Source organism: Homo sapiens, chromosome 1 (genome assembly GCF_000001405.40).
Source record: "Homo sapiens chromosome 1, GRCh38.p14 Primary Assembly".
NCBI classification, from domain to species: domain Eukaryota; kingdom Metazoa; phylum Chordata; class Mammalia; order Primates; family Hominidae; genus Homo; species Homo sapiens.
The window spans coordinates 93,704,409-93,726,570 of NC_000001.11; the positions used below are offsets into that span (position 1 = coordinate 93,704,409).

A 22,162-nucleotide genomic window follows, 5' to 3' on the forward strand; every position below is an offset into this window, starting at 1 on the left:
CATGCATCTATAAGGTAGGTACTGCTATTCTCATTTTACGAATGAAAACACAGACACAGAGAAGTAGAGATACTTGGCCAAAGTTACACAGCTAGTGAGGGACAGAGCTAGGATTCCAGCTGGTGCCATAGCCATGGAGCACTTAGCTATTATACTACACTTCACCACATCTCCAGAGTCAGGGGTGCATTATGAATGCCCTGTGAGGAGTGTGGACCCCATCAGGGTGTGAAAGGAAGTCCTTGAAAGTTTTTAGGCAGGAGTGTGGCATGATCTATTGTACTTTTAAGTGATCCATCTGTTCATGGTGGGGAGAATAGATGGTAGAAGGCCAAGTCAGGGGACTGCCTCATTATTCGAGGTAATAACATTACTGTGGCTCCAACTAGGAGAGCAGCAATTCTTCTTCTTTTTAAAAGCCTATCAGACATTGCACTTCTATTTTTCATGGTTTACTTACCTTCAAGGACTATGGCAGGTTTTGTCTTTTTCCTAAGACAAAAGTACACACACATTCCTAAGAGTTAGTTGCTCCAAAACTCAATAGGTACATGTCAGCATGCATTTAGCTGCAGGAAAGCCAGTTTTTGCCAAGCCTTACCTAGTTCTGTTTAAAGCATCTTTTCTATACATTGTTATCAAGTTAGACCAATGATCTTCCTAGACTGGGAGGTCTGACTTGAGCTGGTTCTAGCTCCACCCGGGGTTGTTTCCATGTTTAGGAGAAGGGGGTGGAGTCCTGATCCAGGTGGGAACCCAACTTGTGGGGTTTCTGCGTGGAAAAGAACTTCACGGGCTGGGTGGTATGTAAGCATCTCCATCTCGTGCATTTAGAGTGGCAGGTCTTAGGACTGCAGTAATTGGTCCTCCCTGGACCAATTTACCCTGTGACATTGACTTTGAATGTAGGGTGTATGTGTTCCGGGCTCCCTTGTAAATGCGGAAATAAAGGAAAACTGACAGACCTCCCAGGGAGAGAGCAGGAATGTTATGCCATATAAACCCACTACCAGCCCTGCAAACAACTGCCAAGGTGCTTCAATAAAATATAACTTCCGACCACCTCCAGCCCTAACACTCCCCTGTCAAATGCCAATTGTTTGTTTAGAACTTCTCCTCCCACTAGGGTTAAGAGGAGCAAGGTGGTTCAACTGCAGTTTCCCCTCCAGCCACTGCTCCCTTCTCAGGGTCTGTTTGGGATACAAGTCAAGGTCACAACTCTGTGGTGCTCCCAGCACCTGAAACCCTCCCCACCTTACGGCAGGTTATTCAGCCTCCCTGTGGCTGCCTTTCTTCACCACTGAAATGAGGATAATTATGGTAACCATCATTCTACCTCATAGCACTGTTGTGAGAATTTAATGAGTTAGAATGAATTAAATGTCAGACAGAACAATTATGGTCAGCTATGATATCATATTGTCATTACTGGAAGGGAGAGGATAGGAAAGGAGGTGGCTGAAGCCAAAGCCCGGTCTCAAGGCTGCGATGAATAAGGATCCTAGAGTCACCCAGAAACAACTACGCTGGAGCTTCTGCAGGTTAACAAGAGGATTCTCATACACTCCAGGTACTGCCCCAGAAGTCACTTTGTAGGCTGGATCAACACCACCCCACAGCTCCAGCTGCAGTTTCTGCCCTGCACTCTGGGGCAGAGCAGCAGGGGGCCAGGCCACTTCCTACCTTGCCTCTTCCTCCTTTCTCCAGGCCAGCTTGGGTCAGATGAAGCAGCTCCTGTAGTAGAATGCAAAGGAAAGACCATCTCAGGTGGGTGTGAGGCAATTACAGTAGCTTCAGGGGAGGCAGAGTCACTTGGGTTCTGCCAGTGGGTGAGTAACCTGGACCTCAGCCTGGTTGGATTCAAGTCTACAGCCCCTCCTGGAGTCACCTTCTCTGGGCTGCAGAGCTCACACCGCCCATTCTGCCTAGATGTTTCTTTGCCTGTTGTCTCAGCAGGTTACAATTAATTACAAATAACAGTGACTCACAGGACAGCAGTTCCCTTATTTGCCAGGGAAGTCTTATTAAGATTAAGCTATTCTCCCAGGAAAGAAAGGTCTTTACTTTTCAATAGAGGTAGAGGGAAGCAAGCAGAGGACTGTGATTACAGCACAGACTCTGGAGCCAGATCGTCTGGGTTTGAATCTGGCCCCATCACTTACAAAGAGGTGTGCCCTGGGACAAGCTAGTCAGCCTGTGACTCAGTTTCCTCATCTGCAAAATGGGGATGTAAATAGTACTTACCTCATAAAGTTATTATGAGAGTTAAATGAGTTAATATCTATTTGGAGCTTAGAACTATGCCTGGCACATAGTAAGTGCTTATATAAATGTTTGATAAATAAAAGTCCAATAATGGAGAATTACTTATATAAATCTACATAATTCAATATTACACAGCCATTATAATTTCTATAGCAACATGGGAATCCATTCATGATCTATTACTAAAGTAAACAATATACAGTTTAATAGTATACAGTTTAGGCCGGGCGCAGGGGCTTACGCCTGTAATCCCAGTACTTTGGGATGCAGAGGCGGGTGGATCACGAGGTCAGGAGTTCGAGACCAGCCTGGCCAACATGGTGAAACCCCGTCTCTACTAAAAATACAAAAATTAACCAGGTGTGGTGGCGGGCGCCTGTAATCCCAGCTTCTCGGGAGGCTGAGGAAGGAAAATTGCTTGAACCTGGGAGGCAGAGTTTGCAGTGAGCTGAGATCATGCCATTACACTACAGCCTAGGTGACAACAGCAAGACTCCATCTCAAAAAAACAAAAAAAGTATACAGTTTAAAACAAACTGTATAATATTATTGCTGAAAACAGAAAATAAATCTATATGCATTTAAAAAAATACTAAAAGTATATACACCAAAGAGTGTTTCTCTGTTTTCCAAAATTTCTGTATTTTGAAGTACAGTAATTAAATAAAACAGTGAAAACTATTCAGAAAGGGATCAAATGCAGTAGATATGCAAAATCCGCATTAAATAATTATGCTTTAAAATAATAATAATAGGCCGGGCATGGTGGCTCATGCCTGTAATCCCAGCACTTTGGGAGGCCAAGGTGGGCAGATCACTTGAGGTCAGGAGTTCAAGACCAGCCTGGCCAACATGGTGAAACCTCATCTCTAAAAATACAAAAATTAGCCAGGTGTGGTGGCGCGTGCCTGTAATCCCAGCTACTCAGGAGGCTGAGGCAGGAGAATCGCTTGAACCCAGGAGGCAGAGGTTGCAGTGAGCTGAGATCGCACCACTGCACTCCAGTCTGGGTGATAGAGTGAGACTCAGTCTCAATAAATAAATAAATAATAATAATAGCTCTGACGGTCCCCAAGCCTGGATCATTCAGGATGTTTTCTAGGCTGAAGCTGGACATTAGATCAAAAAGAAAACAACGTAATATTAAATGCTTGTATGGATATGGTGTACTATCTTTCTTCTGGAAATAATCAAAAGCTAACTACACCAACACAGCCAGACTTCAATCTAACCTAAACAACAGATGACCCACATACACAAAATAAACAACGAGGTAAATAGCAGTGTGTAAAAGCAATGGATCTGACAGGTTTTGCAAGGTGGTAAGCCGAGGGGGCGGCTCAAAAGTTGCCAGCATAGACAGGAGGGGAGGGGTGCGGGAGGGTTCCTCTAGCCATTGAGTCAGAGGTTTCAAGAAGGAAATGGAACTTCGCAGACTGCTACAATAAAGGAAGGAGATAACCATATCCTTCTACTGCTCACTTATATAGAACCTGAATAGAGAAAAGAGTAAGTTGAGAACTTCTGAACCATGACCTTCAGTAATGGGCCAACTGCTCTACTCTGACACCAGGCCACTTCTCATCCTGCTTCAGGGTCTCACAGAACAATTAAACCCCTAAGCACCTTGCCTCCGGCCTCTGGCAGATGGGACTGATGTTAAGCTAAACCCACAGGAGGTAGGATGAGTCCAAAAACCATCTTAACTTTGTTTCCAAGGGGCCTTTTTTGGTTTTGCCTGTTTTTCTCTCTTTCTCCCTCATCATCTCACATAGCTAATCCAACCAACAGTGTGGACACTTTACAAATTGTCATAATCTTTTCTGTCCCCATATTTTTGTCCATAAGTTCTCTCCCCAGTGTCCCATTACTCTCAGAAAAGGAGAAGATCTTTGGGAGAAAATAAACATATTAGTAGCAAATTCTAGAACTGTACTGGCTGAATAAAACTTTGGGCTCACAGAAACCGGTTTCAGTTCACTCTTCAATCTTTTCAAATGTCACCACCATAGAGTCCCCTATATAACTTACCCTATTCACCACCACATCATATCTACAAAAAAAGACCATCTCAATAATCCCCCAAACACCTGAATTGGCTGGAGTTGCTTCTTTCTTTCCAAAGAACAATGGGGTCCTTGGGGCTCCTTTGCCCCGCCAGGGCTGTGCCAAGGACACAGGCAGGAGGAGGTTGGCAGGCTGTTTTATTTTTTAGCAAGCACTGGCAGTACTTAGAGCATTCAGATGATTTCTGTTGATGCTCGTGGGGATCAGCTTCTAAGCTTCGGGCTTGCAAAAACAGGGCTCACAACTTTCATATCAGGAGAGTCGATTGCACATGTGAAGAGGCCAATTAAAAAAAAATCACAAGGAGAAGTGCTGCGATAAGCTAAGTAGGCTTTGTTCTGTTTGGAAAAGGGAGGGCCTGGGAGCCCCGATGAAGTCAGAGCTTTTCCCCTCCCAAGGGCATCTGTTTCCAGGCTGCAAAAGAGAAGAACGAGGGGGAGTCCACAGGCTGCAGGGCAGCAGAGCAGCGTGCTCATGACTGCTCAGGCACATCTGATAACAGCAGGCCTTCCTGGAGGTGGGCACATTCTCCTCCTCTGACCCTGAGTTGGAGAGGTGACACTGATTTACAGCTGCATCTCTTCTTCTTCCTGTCCCTCCAAGCCAGCCTGCGGTCTGTTCAAAGCACACTCAAGGGAAAGAGAGACCAATGAATCTGCCCAATTGGGAAGTGGTTTTGAGCAAGCACTGATGTTCTGACAACACACTCTGTCTTCAGATTGGTCCCTTGCCCTTCAGTGAAGTGGGTCTTGATCTGTACAGGTGTTGGCCAGGGGCTCCAGGACACAGAGCCTTCTCTCTTAGTGTGGGTGACCCTGTATAAGGATGTCTTACTGGCATTAGATTAGGATTGACATTAGTGAATGCTCAGCAGGCAGTCCCCCTTGATTGTCCTTGGAACAGCAAGAAGGAGGGAGGGGAATATCTCCTAGACTAGAGATGGGAAGAGAAAAAGGAAGGCTGTTTAATGGAAAACTGTTGTAGTTTTTAAAAATTGTATTTACAATCTATAGGATTGTAGATTGGGAAAAAAGTCTTTATCTGATCAACTCAACCGTCCTATATTAGGACTAGGGCTTTGCTGCTATAACATAATCATGGTGGAATGTATCTCCTTGATGGATCATCATGTAATTTTTTCATATCTCTATCTTAAATATATATTTTTAAAAGAAAAATAGAAATTATCTTTCTATAATCAATTCATGAAATGAATGGGCCTGTTCGATGCTGTGTTTATTTTGCTTTTCTGCAAAGTTGTTTTGGGGAACATTCCATATCTTTAGATTCTTTGTCACTTAGAGAAAAAAGATTAGGCCAGTTGGACGAAATCCATGAGAGAATGAAATATGAGTTCAAGTGTCCTAGTCTCTGTAAAACAGTATAAACTCACTCCCGGTGGATAGGGGGTGGGAAGCTGGGAAGCTGGGAACCAAGAAAGGCTGATCAAGAAGTGGGCTCCCTCCCTGGACCTGTACCCCTTGTTTCTGGCTTTGCCCCTGCTGGAGGGACCAGTCCTGACCAGTCAGGGAAGCACAGCTCTCTGCTGGGCCTGGCTGCCTGGCATGGCTGGAGCTGGAGAAGCCTTACCCATACCATGCTGGATGTTTGCTACGTCTCCCTTTGCCTCTTCCCTTGGAGACCTTGAAGGGCACCTTTGAGTAGGGAAAACTAAAAACCCAAAGTTACTAATTTGGAGGATTGGCAGGGAGAGACTTTATCCTAGCCAGGATATCTGGGTTTCCTTGAAGCCCCTAATGCTGGTCCCTCAATAATTTGATTTCTTGTTGCTCCTAATGCAAACTTGTTAGGAAGACCCCCAGGCCACACCCAGCAGGTCTCGACCCCACCAACCTTTCGGCCTCATTTGCTCTCTGAACTCCTGTCGCATTGGTCTTCTTTCGGTTTCTTCTGGTCCTGTATTCCCTCCTACCTGAGGACCTTTGATCATGCCATTCCCTCTGTCTGGAACACTCCATCCCCTCCCCCTGCTTTATCTAGCTAACGCTTTTTGTCAGTTATCTTTTCTGGCATAACAAATTACCCCCAAACCTAGTAGCTTAAAACAAACATTTGTTATCTCACATATTCTTTGGATCATGAGTCTGGGAGCAGCTTAGCTCGATGGTTCTGGTTCAGGGTTTCTCAAGAGGTTACATTCAGGCTGTCAGCCTGGGCTTTGGTCATCTGGAGCTATAGGATCTCCTGCCACGCTCACTCATTGTGGACCTCAGTGCCTCTCAGGCTATGGGTGGAGATCTCAGTTCCTTACCATATGACCCCTCCATGGGCTGACTGGGTGTTCTCAGGATGTGGAAGCTGGCTTCTCCCAGAATGAATGATAAGAAAGAGAGAGAGAAGGCACCCAAAATAGAAGCTGCAGGCTTTTGTGAACTAATATCAGAAGCAACACATCATCCCTTCTGCCATGTGCCATTGTTACACAGACCACCCTTGATGCAGTGTGGGAGGAAACTACACATGGTGTGAATACCAGAATGGTGATCTCTGGGGCCATCGTGGGAGGCTGGCTTAATTATCGCTTCCTTTCCCTTAAGATATACTTGTATGGTATGGGTCCAAATGGCCTCATTCATGTCTGTCAGGTGACTGACCATTGGCTGGGACAATGAAAGTGAAAGGGCCATGTGTCTGTCATTATTCAGCCAGCTAGCCTGGGGGAGTCCACGTGGCAGCTACAGAGTTTCAAGAATGAGAATGGATAGGTATGAGGCCTCTTAAGGGCAAGATTTGGAAGAGGTACAATGTCACTTCTACCACATTCTATTGGCCAAGACAAGTCATGAGGCTAGCCTGGATTCAATCGGTGGAGAATAGACTCAACTTTAATGGAAGAAGCCGCAAAGGGGTGTGGATATAGGAAAAGGGGAAAGTGCAACCATTTCTGTAAACACAGCACACCAGAGTATCCCCAGAGCCTAGTACAGTACCTGGCACATAGTAGAGACTCAATAAGCAAAGTATTTCTTACAGGGATGAGTTTGAACATTTTACCTTTAGTTGTCCTCATCTTGTTCTTAGCCTGTCTGCCTCACTGCTAAGGAAGCACCTACAGACAAGAATCCTGTCTTATTCATGTTTGTGACCTGCAAAACATGGACATTGCATAGAACTCTACTAGATGATGAAAAAAATGCAATGCCAACTCTTTTCAAACCCTCTCTGCACGTCTCTATTGCTATTCCTTCCTCAAAGCTTAGGGGCTTCCACAGCTGATTTGCACAGGCTTTGCAATCCTGAGGACCAGGGCTGAGATCCTAAATTTCGTTTACTGACTGTGTGATCTTGGGCAAGTTCCTTCACTCTGCTGAGCCCCAGTTTCTTCTCCTACAAACTGGAGGTGGCTACTGTTGTGGGGTGAAGTGCAACTGGATATGTGAAGTGCTGAACATGTAGCAGGCACTGAATAAATGTTATCCTCTTCCCTTTAATTCCCTGTATCAACTTGATCATTGTCTGACCCCTCTGTCCCCGACCCTGGTTCACCCAGCCTGTCCCAGGAAAGCCACATCTGTCCCATGCTTCCCTTGGTCTCAAGAATGCAGTCAATGGCATAAAGCTGAGTACAGCTAAGCTCCCATGAGTGGTACAATTCCTGCTGCCACACATGGGCAGGAACACTGGATCATATGGGATTGTGCCCCGCCTGGCACAGCTCCCCTAATCCAGAGGACGTTCACCTCGTGCTCCTCAGGTTTCCAGAGGTCCAGCTGCCTCTGTTGCTCTGTCCTTCTGATTTGTACTCTCCAGCCATCATAAAAGTGCTCACTGTCTAGGTCCATGTAAACATACTCTTGACATTTCTTCTTTCCAGGTCAGCTGTCTTCTCACTAGGTTCTCTCCTTTCTTTTTTCTTACCCCTCCCTGCCTTATTATTTTTGACCTTTTCCATATGCCAGGCAGCATGCTAAGCACCTTACGCTAATTGTCTCATTGATTTTCACATCAGCTCTATGGCATAGGAACCATTATCACCACTATTTCCCTTATGAAAAGATTGAGGCTCCAAGAGTTCACATAACCTCTTCATGGCCGCACACTTGGTTAGAATCAGGATTAAACCTGGGTTCTCGTCCCAAAGCTATACTCTCTCTCTTCACACCCTTCACTTGTTGCCTAGTTTTGCATCCTGTGGCAACTTCCTGCTAGAATGTTCCTTATCTCTATATGGCTGGTCTAGATGTTATCAGCATTTTCTTCAAAATTACCACCTTCATCCTCAGCTTTCATCTTCCTTTTTCTCTAGGGCAATACAGTTCAGTAGAACTTTCTGTAATGATGAGAATGTTCTCTGCACTGTCCACTATGGTTGCCAGGAGACATATGTGGCTTTTGTGCATTTGATATGTGGCTAGTATGACTGAGAAATTGCATGTTCAATTTTATTTCATTGTAATTAACTTAAACTTAAATAACCAGACACGGGTAGTGGCTTCTGTATTGGACGGCACACTCTAGGGTCTTATCTTAGTGCAGTTTGTTATTGGAGGGAGAATAAGTGGCAGGAGGTAGTGAAAGGTAGATGGGGAGAAAGGCAGCTTGAGGAAGCCACAGAACTCTTTGTTCATGAATATGGACCCAAGACTAAGCTTCTCAGAAGGACCAATTATTTAATGAGGTCCAGATTCCTGGTCCAAGATTCTTTCCTGGACCTCTGCCTTCCAATCACCAAATTCCTGGTGATGTCATCAAGCATGCCAGGCTGTAGGAATTATGTTGAGGCTCTTCAGAGAGGCAGCCTTCCTGAGCAACATGCAGAGTGAAATGTGCTCATTTCAGGGTAGGGCAAGTGTGAGAAGTCTTACTGAAGCAAGAGTTCCTTGCTGCTAAAATCAATACTTAGTAAAAATGACCTTTGGCCTGTAGCTGCAATTGCATAGAGCTTCCCCCTTCAAGATTTCTAGAATTGCAGATTGAAAAACCCACAGCAATGGTTCCAAAAACTGAAATGCCATTTTTTTTTCTATTAAACCATGTAGCCTCTAGGACTTTCACACAAAGCAATCTTAGAAGTGGTTACTTAGTGAATTTGACTGTAGTGAGCCTTCAAATGTTAATAAATTTCTATTTGAAAATTATGCCCATTTCTGGAAGCCAAAATTCATTCTTTTACTTACTTATTCATTCATTCATCCATCCACAAACATTTTCTGAGTACATGGGAATTCTAAAATGCAGGTGGGGGAGAGGCATTTAAAAAATTAGAAAGACAATTTTTATAGATTCAACTGTTTTTTTTGAGATGGAGTCTCGCTCTGTTACCCAGGCTGGAGTGCAGTGGTGCGATCTCAGCTCACTGCAAGCTCCGCCTCCTGGGTTCATGCCATTCTCCTGCCTCAGCCTCCCGAGTAGCTGGGACTACAGGCACCCACAACCACACCCAGCTAATTTTTGTATTTTTAGTAGAGACAGGGTTTCACCGTGTTAGCCAGGATGGTCTCGATCTCCTGACCTCGTGATCCGCCCACCTCGGCCTCCCAAAGTGCTGGGATTACGGGCGTGAGCCACCGCGCCCGGCCCCATCATACTTTTATTATGGAACTTAATACACTGAAATGTATTTCTTCCCATATCGCCTTCTGTCTCTAGGTTGGCAGTCCTGGAGGTCTAGGACACCATCTTATTGACTACTGTGTTCTTGGCCCCTAGAACACTGCCTGGCACATAGTGGGAGTTTATTAAATATTCCCTGAAGGGACACAAAACCACAGAAATGTGCTCCTAGGCTAGGTCCAGGGTCACCACAGCCCAGCAGTCTGTCTCTAACATGGGAGTCCTTCAGAACATAAGCTTCAAAATCCCTGAGGAATCTGAAGCAACTTACCCTGAGATCAGCCTTCATGAATTCATCAAATCCCTCTTGGCTTTACTTGTATTTTCAGCCTCCAGTGTGAAGGGATAAAAATTCTTTTAACATACTAATCACAACTAAGACCGCCTTTCTTTTTTTTTTTTCAGATGTCCTAAAACTTCATATAGTTCAAAGGTTATCCTGTACCTACTTCTAGCAACACAATATTTAAATGAAGATTTATAAATTAATTAAAAACCTAAAAAAGATGATAATAGTCTCATCCGTGACTTTCGCAGTTTTGTAAGCTTCTGTCATATCCATTTTCAACTCCTGCCTTTACAGACCAGAAAGATTTCTCAGGAAAAGCATTTTTTTTGAAAATAAAATCTCCCATTCCATCTGTTTATCATCTCTGCATACTCTCCTCTGGGTACCTTTCCTAAGGGTCAGTGACAAAACCTGTACAGAATATTCATTCATTTATTATTTACTTGAACACTCATTCAACAATATTTATTGCATGCCTACCATGTGCCAGGCACTGCAATTTTGTATTAGGCAAAAATGGAATAAAATTACAAACCAGGAACACCTCCTTGTTCTTCCCCCCTGCTATTCTTCCTGGCTCAACTTCTAGAGCAAACACTGATGTCTGGCAGTTCATCACCCCTTGTGTTTACCTACTTTCTTTTCTTGTTTCTTTTTTTGTTTTGAACAGTTAATTATCTTTTAGAAATGTTTTCTTAACTTTTCACAAAGTAAAATTGTCTTTTTTCCCTGGAAAGGTTGTAAGTTCCTAGGAAAGATGACAGAAACAAAGATTGCCTTGGAGATTTTCATCTACCCCTTTGCAGTAGGCAGGACCATTTTAAAGGTGAGGAAAAGGAGGTTCTGGAGAGATCAACTCAGCTGCCCAAGATCTCTCAGCTGATTGATGATGGGGCTGGGATTCTTACTGAACATGCCTGGTTCTAAGCTACCAGAACTGCCAAATCACCAGCCTGCCTCTTAGGGTGCCAGAGCTGGTGGCTCACACTTACTTGAGTACCCCAGAGAGCTGAGCTCAGAGCTGGCCCACAGCAGACACTCGAAACTATTTATGGACTTGACTTGATTTAAATAAATGCAGACGGTTTGGCTGACGCAAGGCAATTAACCTGACAGCACTTCTTCCCTCACGTTATAGACAGATGGTGGCTCTTCAGGAGAAATGTGAAGACCTGGAGTGTTGTGAATCATTATCTCTTCCTCTCCCCAGCTAACCGAGATAAAAGCTGTAGGCTTGGCCTTGACGTTGCCCTTTTTCAATTTCTGTCAGAACAAGCCACAAACCTTAATGCGTTTGAGTAGCGCTCAGCCAGCTTGCAATTATTTGTGGTGACAGGGAGCAAGGATGGCATCCACCAACCCTGCCAAGTTTACTTTGGGCCACAAATGTCAGCGTCTCTCCCCTGCCCTTCCAGCAGAGGTTTGCGAGCTGCAGGGTGTTGGAAGGGCCCAGAACAGTTTGCAGGAGTGAGAGTGCAAGATGCCACCAGGAGTGAGTGGTCTCAGAAGGAGCCAAGAGCTAGCTCCCTATGTCTTAACACACTCTAAAAACACAATGGCTATTTAAATGCTCCTTTGGTGTTGAAAAATGATTCTAACAAAAGATCTTTTGCACTTTTCTAATTTTGCACCATGTGTATGTATTACTTATTCAAAAATAAATGAACTTTAAAAGAAGATCTGCATATTCTCACATCCAAAGCCTAAAATAGCAATAGCATACAGTTGATGTCACAGCACTGGCCTGAAGTCAGCGGAACTGGGTATTATTAGTTTCTACTTTGCCACTAATATTGTTTGTAAAACACCAATTTCTCTGCTCAAAACCCACTGAAGCTCAATCACCTACAAGATAAATTCAAACTCATTAGCTTGGCCTGTGAGATCAAGGGTGATCTGACTCTTATCTCTCTGTCTTAGCATAGATTTCCCCAAAACCAGGCCCTAAAAGGATTTGGTTTCAAGTACTGCAAGATCACTTGAGGGAGCTGATCCCCAGAGTGTGGTAAGGTAGAGGGGACGTTGAGACAACCAAGAGGAATGCCGAGAAAGGGTGCCTCATGAGCAGGTGACCACCATAGGAAACTTGGGTTCAATCTCCCACAGCGCCTTGGAGAATCTGTGTAGAACACACCTTGAAATTATCTAAGGGAAAGGAACTTGTGGGATTTGTCCATTAGCTCCCCTCCTCATTGGCTGAGGGCTGACTGGAGGGCATCCACTCTGATCTTCTAGTCTGCTTTATGCAGGAGATGGACATGCTCTCAGGAGCAGAGCATGCACTCAGGCAGGGAGATGCAGGTGCACGAGTGGTGAAGCTGTAGATGGGCTCGGTAGATACAGACTGAGGCCACAACACTTTGCAGTTCTATCAACAGGTGGAATCAATTTCTCTACTCCTTGAATGTGGGCTGGCCTTTTGATGAACAGAACGCAGAGGTTACAAGGTTGTAGAGGTTCTTAGCTAGAACTCAAGAAACCGCACAGTATCTACTTATACTCTTAGATCTGTGCTGCTGCCATGTGAATAAGGCCAGGCTAGGCTGCTGAAGGATGAGAGACCTCATGGAGCAGAGATGAGTCATCCTAGCTGAGTAACCCCAGATCAACCAGTCCCCAGCCAACCTGCTACTTGATCACAGACACATGAGTGAACCCAGCCCAGCCCAGAAGGAGGCCCAGCTGAGCCCAGCCAAAATTGCTGAGTTTGTAATTGTGAATTAAATAAATTGTTGTTGCCTTGAACAACTAAATTTGGGGGCAGTTTTTTAAGCAGCAAAAGTTAGTTGATTTTGCATTTAGGCCAAGGGCTACATGGAAGTAAGAATTGGAGATAAGAGGCTGGGCGCAGTGGCTCACGCCTGTAATCCCAGCACTTTGGGAGGTCGAGGTAGGCGGATTGCCTGAGGTCAGGAGTTTGAGACCATCCTGGCCAACATGGTGAAACCCCATCTCTACTAAAAATACAAAAAAAATTAGCTGGGCATGGTGGCATGTGCCTGTAATCTCAGCTACTCAGGAAGCTGAGGTAGTGGAATTGCTTGAACCAGGGAGGTGGAGGTTGCAGTGAGCCGAGATCGTGCCGCTGTACTCCAGCCTGCACGAGACTCCACCTCAAAAAAAAAAAAAAAAAAGAATTGGAGATAAGAGAACTGTGCGCAACCAGATTCCTGTCTTCAGGTGACAGGATGGTTTCCTTTGCAGGGTTGTTATTGGGGCTGCTCATTGTGGAAAATTGCGTAAGAGTCTGAGAGTGTGGCCTGCGTTTTTGGAGGGGTCTAAGCTTAATATTAAAAACAAAATCAAAGCAATTGCAAATCTCTTTTATTTATGGTGGCAGAGGGTTGAACTTTTTGTCTGTTCATTTGCAGATTACTCTAAAAAGACAGGGAAGCCTAAAGTTCACTTCACTTGGTTGTTACTTGGTTCTGTTTGTCACATTTAATATTTCCAAGTGTCTAAAGACTTTCTCTGGAAACTTCCTGCGTTCACAGCTCTTAAAATAAAATAATAAATTTAAACATACTCCTGCATTCTTGTAGCAGATGTTGAATTCCAATCAGAGGATGAGGAGAAGTTTCATGACAAAGGACATGTCATTTGGCCTGAGTCTGGTAAAATAAATGGAATTTGGGCAGGTAGAAAATGAAGGAAGATAGAAGTAGTTTTCTAAACTTTGATACATATGATCAGACTCTCCCTAGAAAGACTGAAACCACTAGACCCCAAAGATGAAGGTAGAATGCGTACTAATGCAGCAGGGTGAGAAAGCGCTGGCATGTGGTGCAGAGGGAGGCTGCAGTGTGAGGAGCGATGCTGGGCCAGGACACAGCAGTATGATGGGAGAAGGGCAGGGATTCTGGGGTCAGGCTTAACTACTGGCTCTGCCATATCCTAGCTGTGGCCTTACATGCACTACTTCACACCTCTGGGCCTCAATTTCCTCAACTATAAAATGGAGATGATAGCTACATTAAAGGGCTGTCATGAAGATTAAGTGAACTAATGTAAAGTCCCTCCAGGATGCTTGGCCATAAAGTAAATGCTGTCTAATTTTCACAACCATCTGAACTACATTGTTTTTCTTTTTTTTTTTTTTTTTTTTTTTTGAGACGGGGTTTGGCTCTGTTACCCCATGCTGGAGTGTGGTAGCATGATCTCGGCTCACTGCAGCCTCAACCTCCCAGGCTCAAGCAATCCTCCCATTTCAGCCTCCCATGTAGCTGGGACTACAGGCATGCACCACCACACTCAGCTAATTTTTGTATTTTTTTTTTTTTTAGAGACAGGGTCTCCCTATGTTGCCCAAGCTGGTTTTGAACTACTGAACTCAAGCAATCCGCCCGCCTCGGCCTCCCAAAGTGTTAGGATTACAAGTGTGAGCCATGACGCCCAGCTGAAGTATATTCAAAAAGATGTCAATGGATTCCTGGATGATGGTGCCTCACATGGCCACTTGCCTCCCCAGACCACCAATAGAGTTGCAGGTTTATTAGTTTATCTTTTTCCGCCTGTAAAATCGTTTCTGGGTGAAAGGGAAGCCTCCAAATAAACCCCACTCTCATCTCCAGGTTCTCATAGAGCCCACTACTCTGGAAGGTCCAGCTGGGACCCTGCCATTAGCAAATGGTTGATGCTCCATGTTGTATGAGGGCCCTCTATTGCATCAGCTTTTGCTTTGACAAAGAAATTAAAAAGGAGTAAGTTAGTCTCTATATTTAAACTTTCTTGTTTTTTTTTTTTTTTTTTTTTTTTTGAGACAGAGTCTCACTCTGTTGCCAGGCTGGAGTGCAGTGGCACAATCTTGGCTCACTGCAACCTCTGCCTCCCGGGTTCACATCATTCTCCTGCCTCAGCCTCCCGAGTAGCTGGGACTACAGGCGCCCACCACCACGCCCGGCTAATTTTTTTGTATTTTTTAGTAGAGATGGGGTTTCACTGTGTTAACCAGGATGGTCTCGATCTCCTGACCTCGTGATCTGCCTGCCTCGGCCTCCCAAAGTGCTGGGATTACAGGTGTCAGCCACCCTGCCCAGCCTCTATATTTAAACTTTCAATGTGGAAATGCAGGCACATAATTAGTTTAACGAGCTAAGCACTGGTGATAAATGCTGAACTGCAGTGGAGAAGTCCTTTGAACCTGTACATAGACAATCAGCAAGTGTTTCATGATGTTCATGTTTACGGCAATTCTGATGGAGAGAGAATCTCTGATCCTTCTGGGAAGAGGAATTGGGTCCCTTGATGCATGAAGATTTGAATGTTCACTTATGATTTGCTCAAAGTTGAATTTTACAATTTTTTATTTTAGAGACAGAATCTCATTATGTTGCCCAAGCTGGAGTGCGGTGGCTATATTCACAGGTACAATCATAGTGCACTATTGCCTTGAACTTCTGGGCTCATGTAATTTTCCTGGGCACTGGTATGTTGTAGAATAAACCCGTGGGTCTTTCTTATAAAAATCCTCAGTCAAGCAAGGGACTGGGATTTGTGAAGCTCTCAAAGAAATGAGGTGGTGGCTGCCAGCTGGCTATGCCTCACTTCCTTGGGAAGGCCTCTCCTTCCACCTGTTTCTCCCCTGAAGTTCCACAGGGTTTTAGGATGCTCTGGGTTGCCTGGGGCCTCAGCTCTGTGGACGTGCAGCTTCCCCTGCACATTGCATCTCTGAATGAAGGCTTCCTCTGGAGGCTTTAAGAAAAAAGTGTTAAGACAAAGAGGGCAAGTTGAAATTGTGAGATACTGCAGAAAGAAAGATCCTGGACTCTGGAGGCTGGTGCCACTCTTTCCTGGCTGTGTGCTCTTGGGCAAAACAGGACCTAACTTTGGAGTATCCTTCTTCACTGCTGATACAGGGGCCTGCAGGAGCATTCAGTAGAGGGGCTTCTGCCTCCAGACCCTGGTCTCTCTGAACAGTGGTGCCTTACATGGCCACTCGCCTTCCCAGACCACAGCGCCTGATGGAGACCCGAAGTTGGGTCGATGCTCCGGTGCTGCGACTGCCTCCTCCACAGGCCAAGACTTAAAACTCCTACTGCCTTTGTTCCTTGTGTGTTTGTTTTTTCCTAATAAAAACTCAGAATCACTTTTATTAAAATAAATGAACAACTACAAACAAAAGGTAGAAAGGAGGAGGATGCTCCCCGGAGCCAGAGGAACACAGACCCACCCGCCCCTACACACCCTGGGCCTGAGGGCCTGGCCCTTTGGCCTTCCTTGTGTCTTTTTCTCACTTGTGGGGAGGGGAGAAGAATGAAGAAGCTGCCGGAACTCCCAGGCCCTGCGCTCTCATGGTGTCTGCCTGCCCTGCCATTAGCAGGGCAGGAGGTGGCTGGAGTGGAGCAGGGTTGGGAGTGCATCAGGGTGTCGGGCAGCAGGGCTAGCCTGAGCCAGCTCCGCAGGTGCTTCTGGCTGAGGCGAGGCTGACCCTGGGAGCACCGCTGGAATAGTGGCCACTGGTAGCGGCTAGATTGGCAGCTCTGGGCACTTTAGAAGTTCAGGGATGCCTCAGACTGGAAGGGTGGCATCTAGGTGGGGCAGGAAGGAAGGGTAGGAAAGGTTCCTCTGAAGTCAGCATGGCAGGGATTAGTAGTAGCTGGGAGGGGACAGTTACTCAGTTCCTGCCATGCCCTGCAGACTGGAGCCCAGGGCCCAGTGGCTCAGAATCCTTGGGAACAGAATCCTCAAGAACAACATCTTGAGCCTGGAGGAATACAGCAGTGGTTTGCCCAGGTTGTCCCCTCTGCCCAGAGAGTTCACCTCTACTTTGTCAACCCAGAAGAATCCTGGCATCCCTTAGGATCTAACTCAAATGTCCCCTCCCCTGGGAAGCCCTCCCTGACTGCATGCAGGAAGCATTCCTCTCTAAGCACACATGACTTTGTATTGTTATTCTCCTGGGAATGCGACGGAACTTTTCCTAGAGATACAGGCCCCAGTGGCCAGGAGACCTCTAGAACAGACTGGAACCCTTGGTAAATGTTTGCTGACCTAAGTATGGTGGAGAATGCTTGAGGCACATCTTCTATCTGTGCTCCAAGAAGGAGAACGACCCCTCACCAAGCCCATTCTCGTGGCCTCCACTTAGGAACTGATGCCTCTCACCGATTCCAATGGGAGCTGTTCTTTCTGAGCCTTTAAGTTCTGCCACTGCTCACCTCCTGAGAGGCCATGTGACAAAGTAGGGGAGGTGGCCTCTGGAGCAAGGGTTCCTCAGGTCCGAATTCTGTTTCCACCACCTACTAGCCATATGGCTCTGGCCAGGTTAGGAGATTGCCAGAGTGCCTACTGGCTATGAGGACTAAAGGAGTTACCATATGCAGGAGCACTTAGATCAGTGGCTGGTGCATCACAAGTGCTCAGTAATGACAACTATTATTATTATTATTGTCTCCCCAAATCACAGAAGCAGACCTCCACACTGTCTCAGGGACTGTCCTGAGTGCATAGGGAGACAATGGGTGTGTGGGGACTGGCCATCCTGCAGCTCTCCACAGTCTCGGCCAGGTCCCATGGGGGAGGGGCGGCCATGGCCGGTGGCTAAGGACAGGCCTATGGAAGGGAGGGCCTGGGGGTGACCTGGCTCCCGGTACCGGATCCCATGCACTCATAAGCCTCTCCAGAACTCCCGAGTGAGGGCCTCCTAGAGCTCAGGCCTGCCTTTCTGTTTTTGGCTTCTTGGCCTTTACTGCGTCCTTGGGGACAGGCTACTATTTTAGGTAGCAGTCAAAATAAAACTGAGATTAACCCAGAATTCTTGGCAGTCAAACAATACCATAATTATGTGCTTTTTAACTTCAGAAATCAGATAGCCACAGCTGACCCGCCACGGTCCATGGGGTGCCCTGGGGATACTAAGGCCTCCATCCTGCGCTGGGTCACCTCTGCACACTCTAAGCCGCAGGCAGCCACTAGAGGACTGTGGGGCTCTGAGGGACGCTATTTCTCCTCCTGGGAGCCATTGTCTGAACAACAATACAACTTGCTTTCACACGAGACGTTGCCAGGTTGGAAGGGTGACTTATTACTTTCTATATCATAAATCCTCTTGCCTAAGTCCCAGTCCCAGGGACTGGTGGGCTGTGAGGGAACAGAGGAGGCTTGTGTTCCGGGCTGGGCTCTCAGGGCAGGAAATCACCCGGAGGAATATGTTTGTGCTTTGATTGCTGACAAGGGCCGCAGACCCTCTAGTCAGGCGAACAGGCCCCTTCCTCTTTGCAGGAGCCAAGGGGGAGGGGAGGGAATTAGTCACACACAAGAGCGACAGGATTAGGCCCCTGAGAGTAAAATCCTTCACTCTAACCCAGAAAGAGGAAAAAAGAATGGGAGATTCAAATAGATGGGGGTTGAGATGATGTCAGTAAAGGTCACCGCCTGAAGAACAAAGAAGCAGCCGTGATTAGAGGCTTGGGCAGACCTCTAAGCTCTCAGGCAAGACCTCAAAATGCCTGGAAGAAAGAAAGGAACCAATAGACCCCAGCTCCAGAGGCAGTCCCAGAGGTGTAGCTGGAAAAAAACAATTTTCCCTGAAACACTGACTTGGCCCCAGGAATAAGGTCCTTCTGGAAACCTGATGCTCCTAGCAGGGGTACACATCTTAGCAAGGAAAGTGGTTTGCAGGGAGATTTGAAATAGAAACACACACTCCAGTGTCCTCTGGCCGAGCTGCCCTGTTGGCATGGAGGCAAACAGATACCCTGCATGGTGACAGGCTTGCATTCCTTTAGGGAAAGGCCATCTGGGCGTGGACACCCAGCATTCAAAGGAGCGATGTGCTGGAATGGTCTGGCTGCTCCCTCCACACCACGATGGAAGCTGCTTTTGCTGATGACTGTAGCTGCGCACTGTGCCCCTCTCAACCTTCAGCATCCTCCATTGACTCCTCGCTCCAGGGTCCTCAGGCCCAGTCTTTTCCACCAGCTCCCTGGGAGAGTCTCCTGGGAAGAGCACATTTCTTTAAGGATGGATTCTGACTTTCCACTTGGTTTTAGTTTGTTTGATTTCCACCCCCTCAATGCCTTTATTAAATGTCTTTCTCTGCCACAGGAGCCTCAGGAACAACAAGACTTGGGAGGTTGTTCTTGAGGACTGAATGATCCTGAGACATGAACCTTGTCTCAGAGACAGGACCTTGAATTTGATCTAGGAGGCAGGCAAAGGAAAAAGAGGCTGTGATAACCACTGAAGGAGGCCAGGAGTTTTATACAGCTGGGACTGGAATGCAGGGCCTCTCGGCAGTTCTCTTGGTAAAGGCGGATGGGTTTTCATGCTAGAAGGGCTACCCTGCTCTTATTTTCCCATCCTGTGTGGTCTCTAATTACAAGGAGATGTCGAATTCCATTATGAAAGAGAAGCCACTTGGCCACCTCCCTCTGGGGACCTCATAGCAGTGCCTTTGTCTCTGCAGACCTGGAAGAAATGAACTGATCCTCTGTCCAGGCCAGTAGGAGCTTTTGATGAACAGGTTGGGGGGCAACAAAGTGATTAAGTAGGGCTGAGCACTAATCCCACTGAGCTGCAGCCTGTGCTTGGGCAGCTTAGCCAAAGTGAAAACAAGGGGAGCCACAGAGGGGAGCCCCACAGAGGGGAACCGAGGCCCCCAGAGTTAGGATGCCAGCGCTGGTGGCTGGGGGGTCCATGTCCAGCCTCTCAGGTGGGGACATTGGTAAAGAAAGGGCCACCATCACACCAGTCCCATTGTGAATGGACTTCCGAAAGGCTGCGTCCATTACTGGCCTGCAGTGCCTTCCTGGTCTGTTTCTGCTGCTGGGGCAGCCCTATCTTTGGGCCTTCATACACAGGAGCCCTTGTTTGTTGGACTGTTATAACTCCCAAGGAATAGACGCCACCAAATTTGTACATGTAAGTGGTGCCTGCAGAGTTCAGAAAGCTGCCGTAGATTCTTTCTTGTGCAAGGGGGTGCATCAAAGGATCACACTGCAGAAAATGCCTGCTTCCTGCAGCACTGTGAGCCTGTGTCTACAGGGATGACCGGCTGTCCAGTCTGAGCTACCTGGCTCCCCTCCTGCCACCCAGCCTGGTGTCCAAGGACTCTCATCTGGGAAAGGTCCCATCTAGTGGGCCTTGGAGAGGTGGGCCCCTTCTCTGGATGGGCCACAGGAGAGGGAGGTGCTGGAGAAGATGGCGGGAAGCCGATGCAATGTCCTTACTACCCCTGACCTGCCACTGGTATCTGAATAGGATGGGGCTGGTGGAGGTGTCCTCAAGGGTTTCTCTCCACTTCCACCCACCAACCCATAAAGACCTCTGAGTGCATTAGCCCTCTAAACCATTCTTAGCTGAAACCCCAGGAAGGGGTTTCAGTACTTGAAACTGCCTGACGGAAGGGTCCAAGGGAACTGATGAGTGAGGGAAATGCTGTGAGCACCTGTGGGGTAAGTTGCACCAGCCAAGAGCCTCTGTCCCTCTTACCTACTTCTCCTCACCCTGCTCTGCTTTGTCTTTCGTAGCCCACAGCACTCGTCGCTTCCCACTACACTTCTACGTAGTTCACCTCCTTCTCTTCATTGTCTATGTCCCACTCATGTGTAAGCTCACAGAGGCAGAGACCCCGTCTCCTTTATTCAGCAATACATCCCAAGCACATATAATATTTCCTGGCACCAGTAGGCACTCAAAAATATATACTGAATGAATAAATTTCATGTGGGATGTGGATGCATGATGGTATGTGAAATATTATAAGATTAGACTTCCAGAAATAAGCATTACATAGGGACTGTGAGGGCCTTAAAATGGCCCAGCCTGCCTGTACTTCCTTTGCTAATGAGGCCGAGCATCTTTCCACATATTTATCACATATTTGTGTTTCTTCTTTTGTGAAATGCCTGCTTATGTCTCTTGTTCATCTTTTCTCTTGGGTTGTTTGTCTATTTCTTTCTGATTTGTAGAAATCTTTTACATATTCTGGAAACAAATCCTATATTGATCCTATTGTGTATCTCTCAGTTTGGGGTTTGTTTTTTCTATTTCTTTGTGGTATATTAATTTTAATGTAGCTTAACTTATTAATCTTTTATGATTAATGCTCTCTGTGTCTAATGAATTTTTTGTATTCTGAAGCCATAAAGATATTCTTCAGTATTCTCTCTAAAAGTTTTAAAGGTTTGTCTTTCACATTGAAATCATTAATCCACTAAGAGTTGATATTTGGGTAGAGGTGAAGTAGGGATCCAATTTTTTGCCTTATTAACCACCAATTATCATTACTTATTTACTAGCCCTTTCTTTTTCCAGGAATCGGCAGCTTCACTTCTGTCTTATATCAAGATTCCATATTTGGCAGGTCTATTTCTGGGCTCTCTATTCTGTTCCATTGGCCAGTTTTTCCATTCTGGCATCAGTACATTTTATCTTGATCACCACTTTATAATAAGTCAATAATATCTGGTAGAGAAATTCCCTCTTCCTTATTCTTCTTCTTCAGAGGTTATTAGCTTTTTTTTTTGTTTTTTTGTTTTTGAGACAGGGTGTCACTCAGTTGCCCACGCTGGAGTGCAGTGGCAAACACAGCTCAATGCAGCCTTAACCTCCTAGGCTCCAGCGGTTCTCCCACCTCAGCCTCCTGAGTAGCTTAGACCACAAGTGCATACCACCATGCCCAGCCAATTTAAATATATTTTTTTTTGAGAGAGAGACAGGGTCTCATTATGTTGCCAAGGCTGGTCTCAGACTTCTGGGTTCAAGCAATCCTCCCACCTTGGCCTTCCAAAGTGTCAAGATTACAGGCATGAGCCACCGTGCCTGGCCTATTAGCTATTCTTAATACTTTACAGCCCACCTAAATTTGGAATTATCTTGTCATGTGTCTCAAAAAAAATTCTGTTGGGATTGTGAGGGGAATTGCATTGGCTTAACTGCTTTAATTAATTATTTTAGGGAAAGCTGATGTAATTGTGATAGGGAGTTTTCCTGTCTATGAACTCAGATTACTTCTTGACTTTTAGG

At 46.1% G+C, this 22,162-nt stretch overlaps 1 protein-coding gene across 12 annotated transcripts in view, besides 8 other annotated features; it reads right to left on the reverse strand.

The window, feature by feature from the left end:
* Positions 1 to 22,162, reverse strand: part of BCAR3 (BCAR3 adaptor protein, NSP family member) — a 286,411-nt gene that overhangs the window by 142,668 nt on the left and 121,581 nt on the right. For 7 of the 12 annotated variants that reach the window (NM_001261408.2, NM_001412045.1, NM_001412044.1 and 4 more), the window contains one exon: positions 1,684 to 1,734. The exons of 2 other annotated variants lie outside the window; for them this stretch is intronic. Coding sequence is in view for 3 of the 10 variants with exons in the window: in NM_001412055.1 (NP_001398984.1) it covers positions 1,684 to 1,734 (51 nt within the window). In the remaining 7 variants the exon portion in view is untranslated. Of the gene's footprint in view, positions 1 to 1,683; positions 1,735 to 15,480; positions 19,132 to 22,162 lie in introns of those variants that run through there. 3 more of the 12 variants (NR_178013.1, NR_178016.1, NM_001412054.1) reach the window with 2 other exon arrangements.
* Positions 224 to 373: an enhancer, noted in NCBI's record as "active region_1336". NCBI's record gives its function as "activates an Ori minimal core promoter by ATAC-STARR-seq in GM12878 lymphoblastoid cells {active_cell/tissue: GM12878}" and the evidence as "EXISTENCE:reporter gene assay evidence [ECO:0000049][PMID:35858748]".
* Positions 3,424 to 3,473: an enhancer, noted in NCBI's record as "active region_1337". NCBI's record gives its function as "activates an Ori minimal core promoter by ATAC-STARR-seq in GM12878 lymphoblastoid cells {active_cell/tissue: GM12878}" and the evidence as "EXISTENCE:reporter gene assay evidence [ECO:0000049][PMID:35858748]".
* Positions 3,614 to 3,743: a silencer, noted in NCBI's record as "silent region_1085". NCBI's record gives its function as "represses an Ori minimal core promoter by ATAC-STARR-seq in GM12878 lymphoblastoid cells {active_cell/tissue: GM12878}" and the evidence as "EXISTENCE:reporter gene assay evidence [ECO:0000049][PMID:35858748]".
* Positions 6,645 to 6,939: a silencer, noted in NCBI's record as "tiled region #5000; HepG2 Repressive non-DNase unmatched - State 23:Low". NCBI's record gives its function as "represses a minimal TATA promoter and a strong SV40 promoter by Sharpr-MPRA in HepG2 cells {active_cell/tissue: HepG2}" and the evidence as "EXISTENCE:reporter gene assay evidence [ECO:0000049][PMID:27701403]".
* Positions 6,860 to 6,909: an enhancer, noted in NCBI's record as "active region_1338". NCBI's record gives its function as "activates an Ori minimal core promoter by ATAC-STARR-seq in GM12878 lymphoblastoid cells {active_cell/tissue: GM12878}" and the evidence as "EXISTENCE:reporter gene assay evidence [ECO:0000049][PMID:35858748]".
* Positions 7,040 to 7,099: an enhancer, noted in NCBI's record as "active region_1339". NCBI's record gives its function as "activates an Ori minimal core promoter by ATAC-STARR-seq in GM12878 lymphoblastoid cells {active_cell/tissue: GM12878}" and the evidence as "EXISTENCE:reporter gene assay evidence [ECO:0000049][PMID:35858748]".
* Positions 12,722 to 12,791: an enhancer, noted in NCBI's record as "active region_1340". NCBI's record gives its function as "activates an Ori minimal core promoter by ATAC-STARR-seq in GM12878 lymphoblastoid cells {active_cell/tissue: GM12878}" and the evidence as "EXISTENCE:reporter gene assay evidence [ECO:0000049][PMID:35858748]".
* Positions 12,802 to 12,921: an enhancer, noted in NCBI's record as "active region_1341". NCBI's record gives its function as "activates an Ori minimal core promoter by ATAC-STARR-seq in GM12878 lymphoblastoid cells {active_cell/tissue: GM12878}" and the evidence as "EXISTENCE:reporter gene assay evidence [ECO:0000049][PMID:35858748]".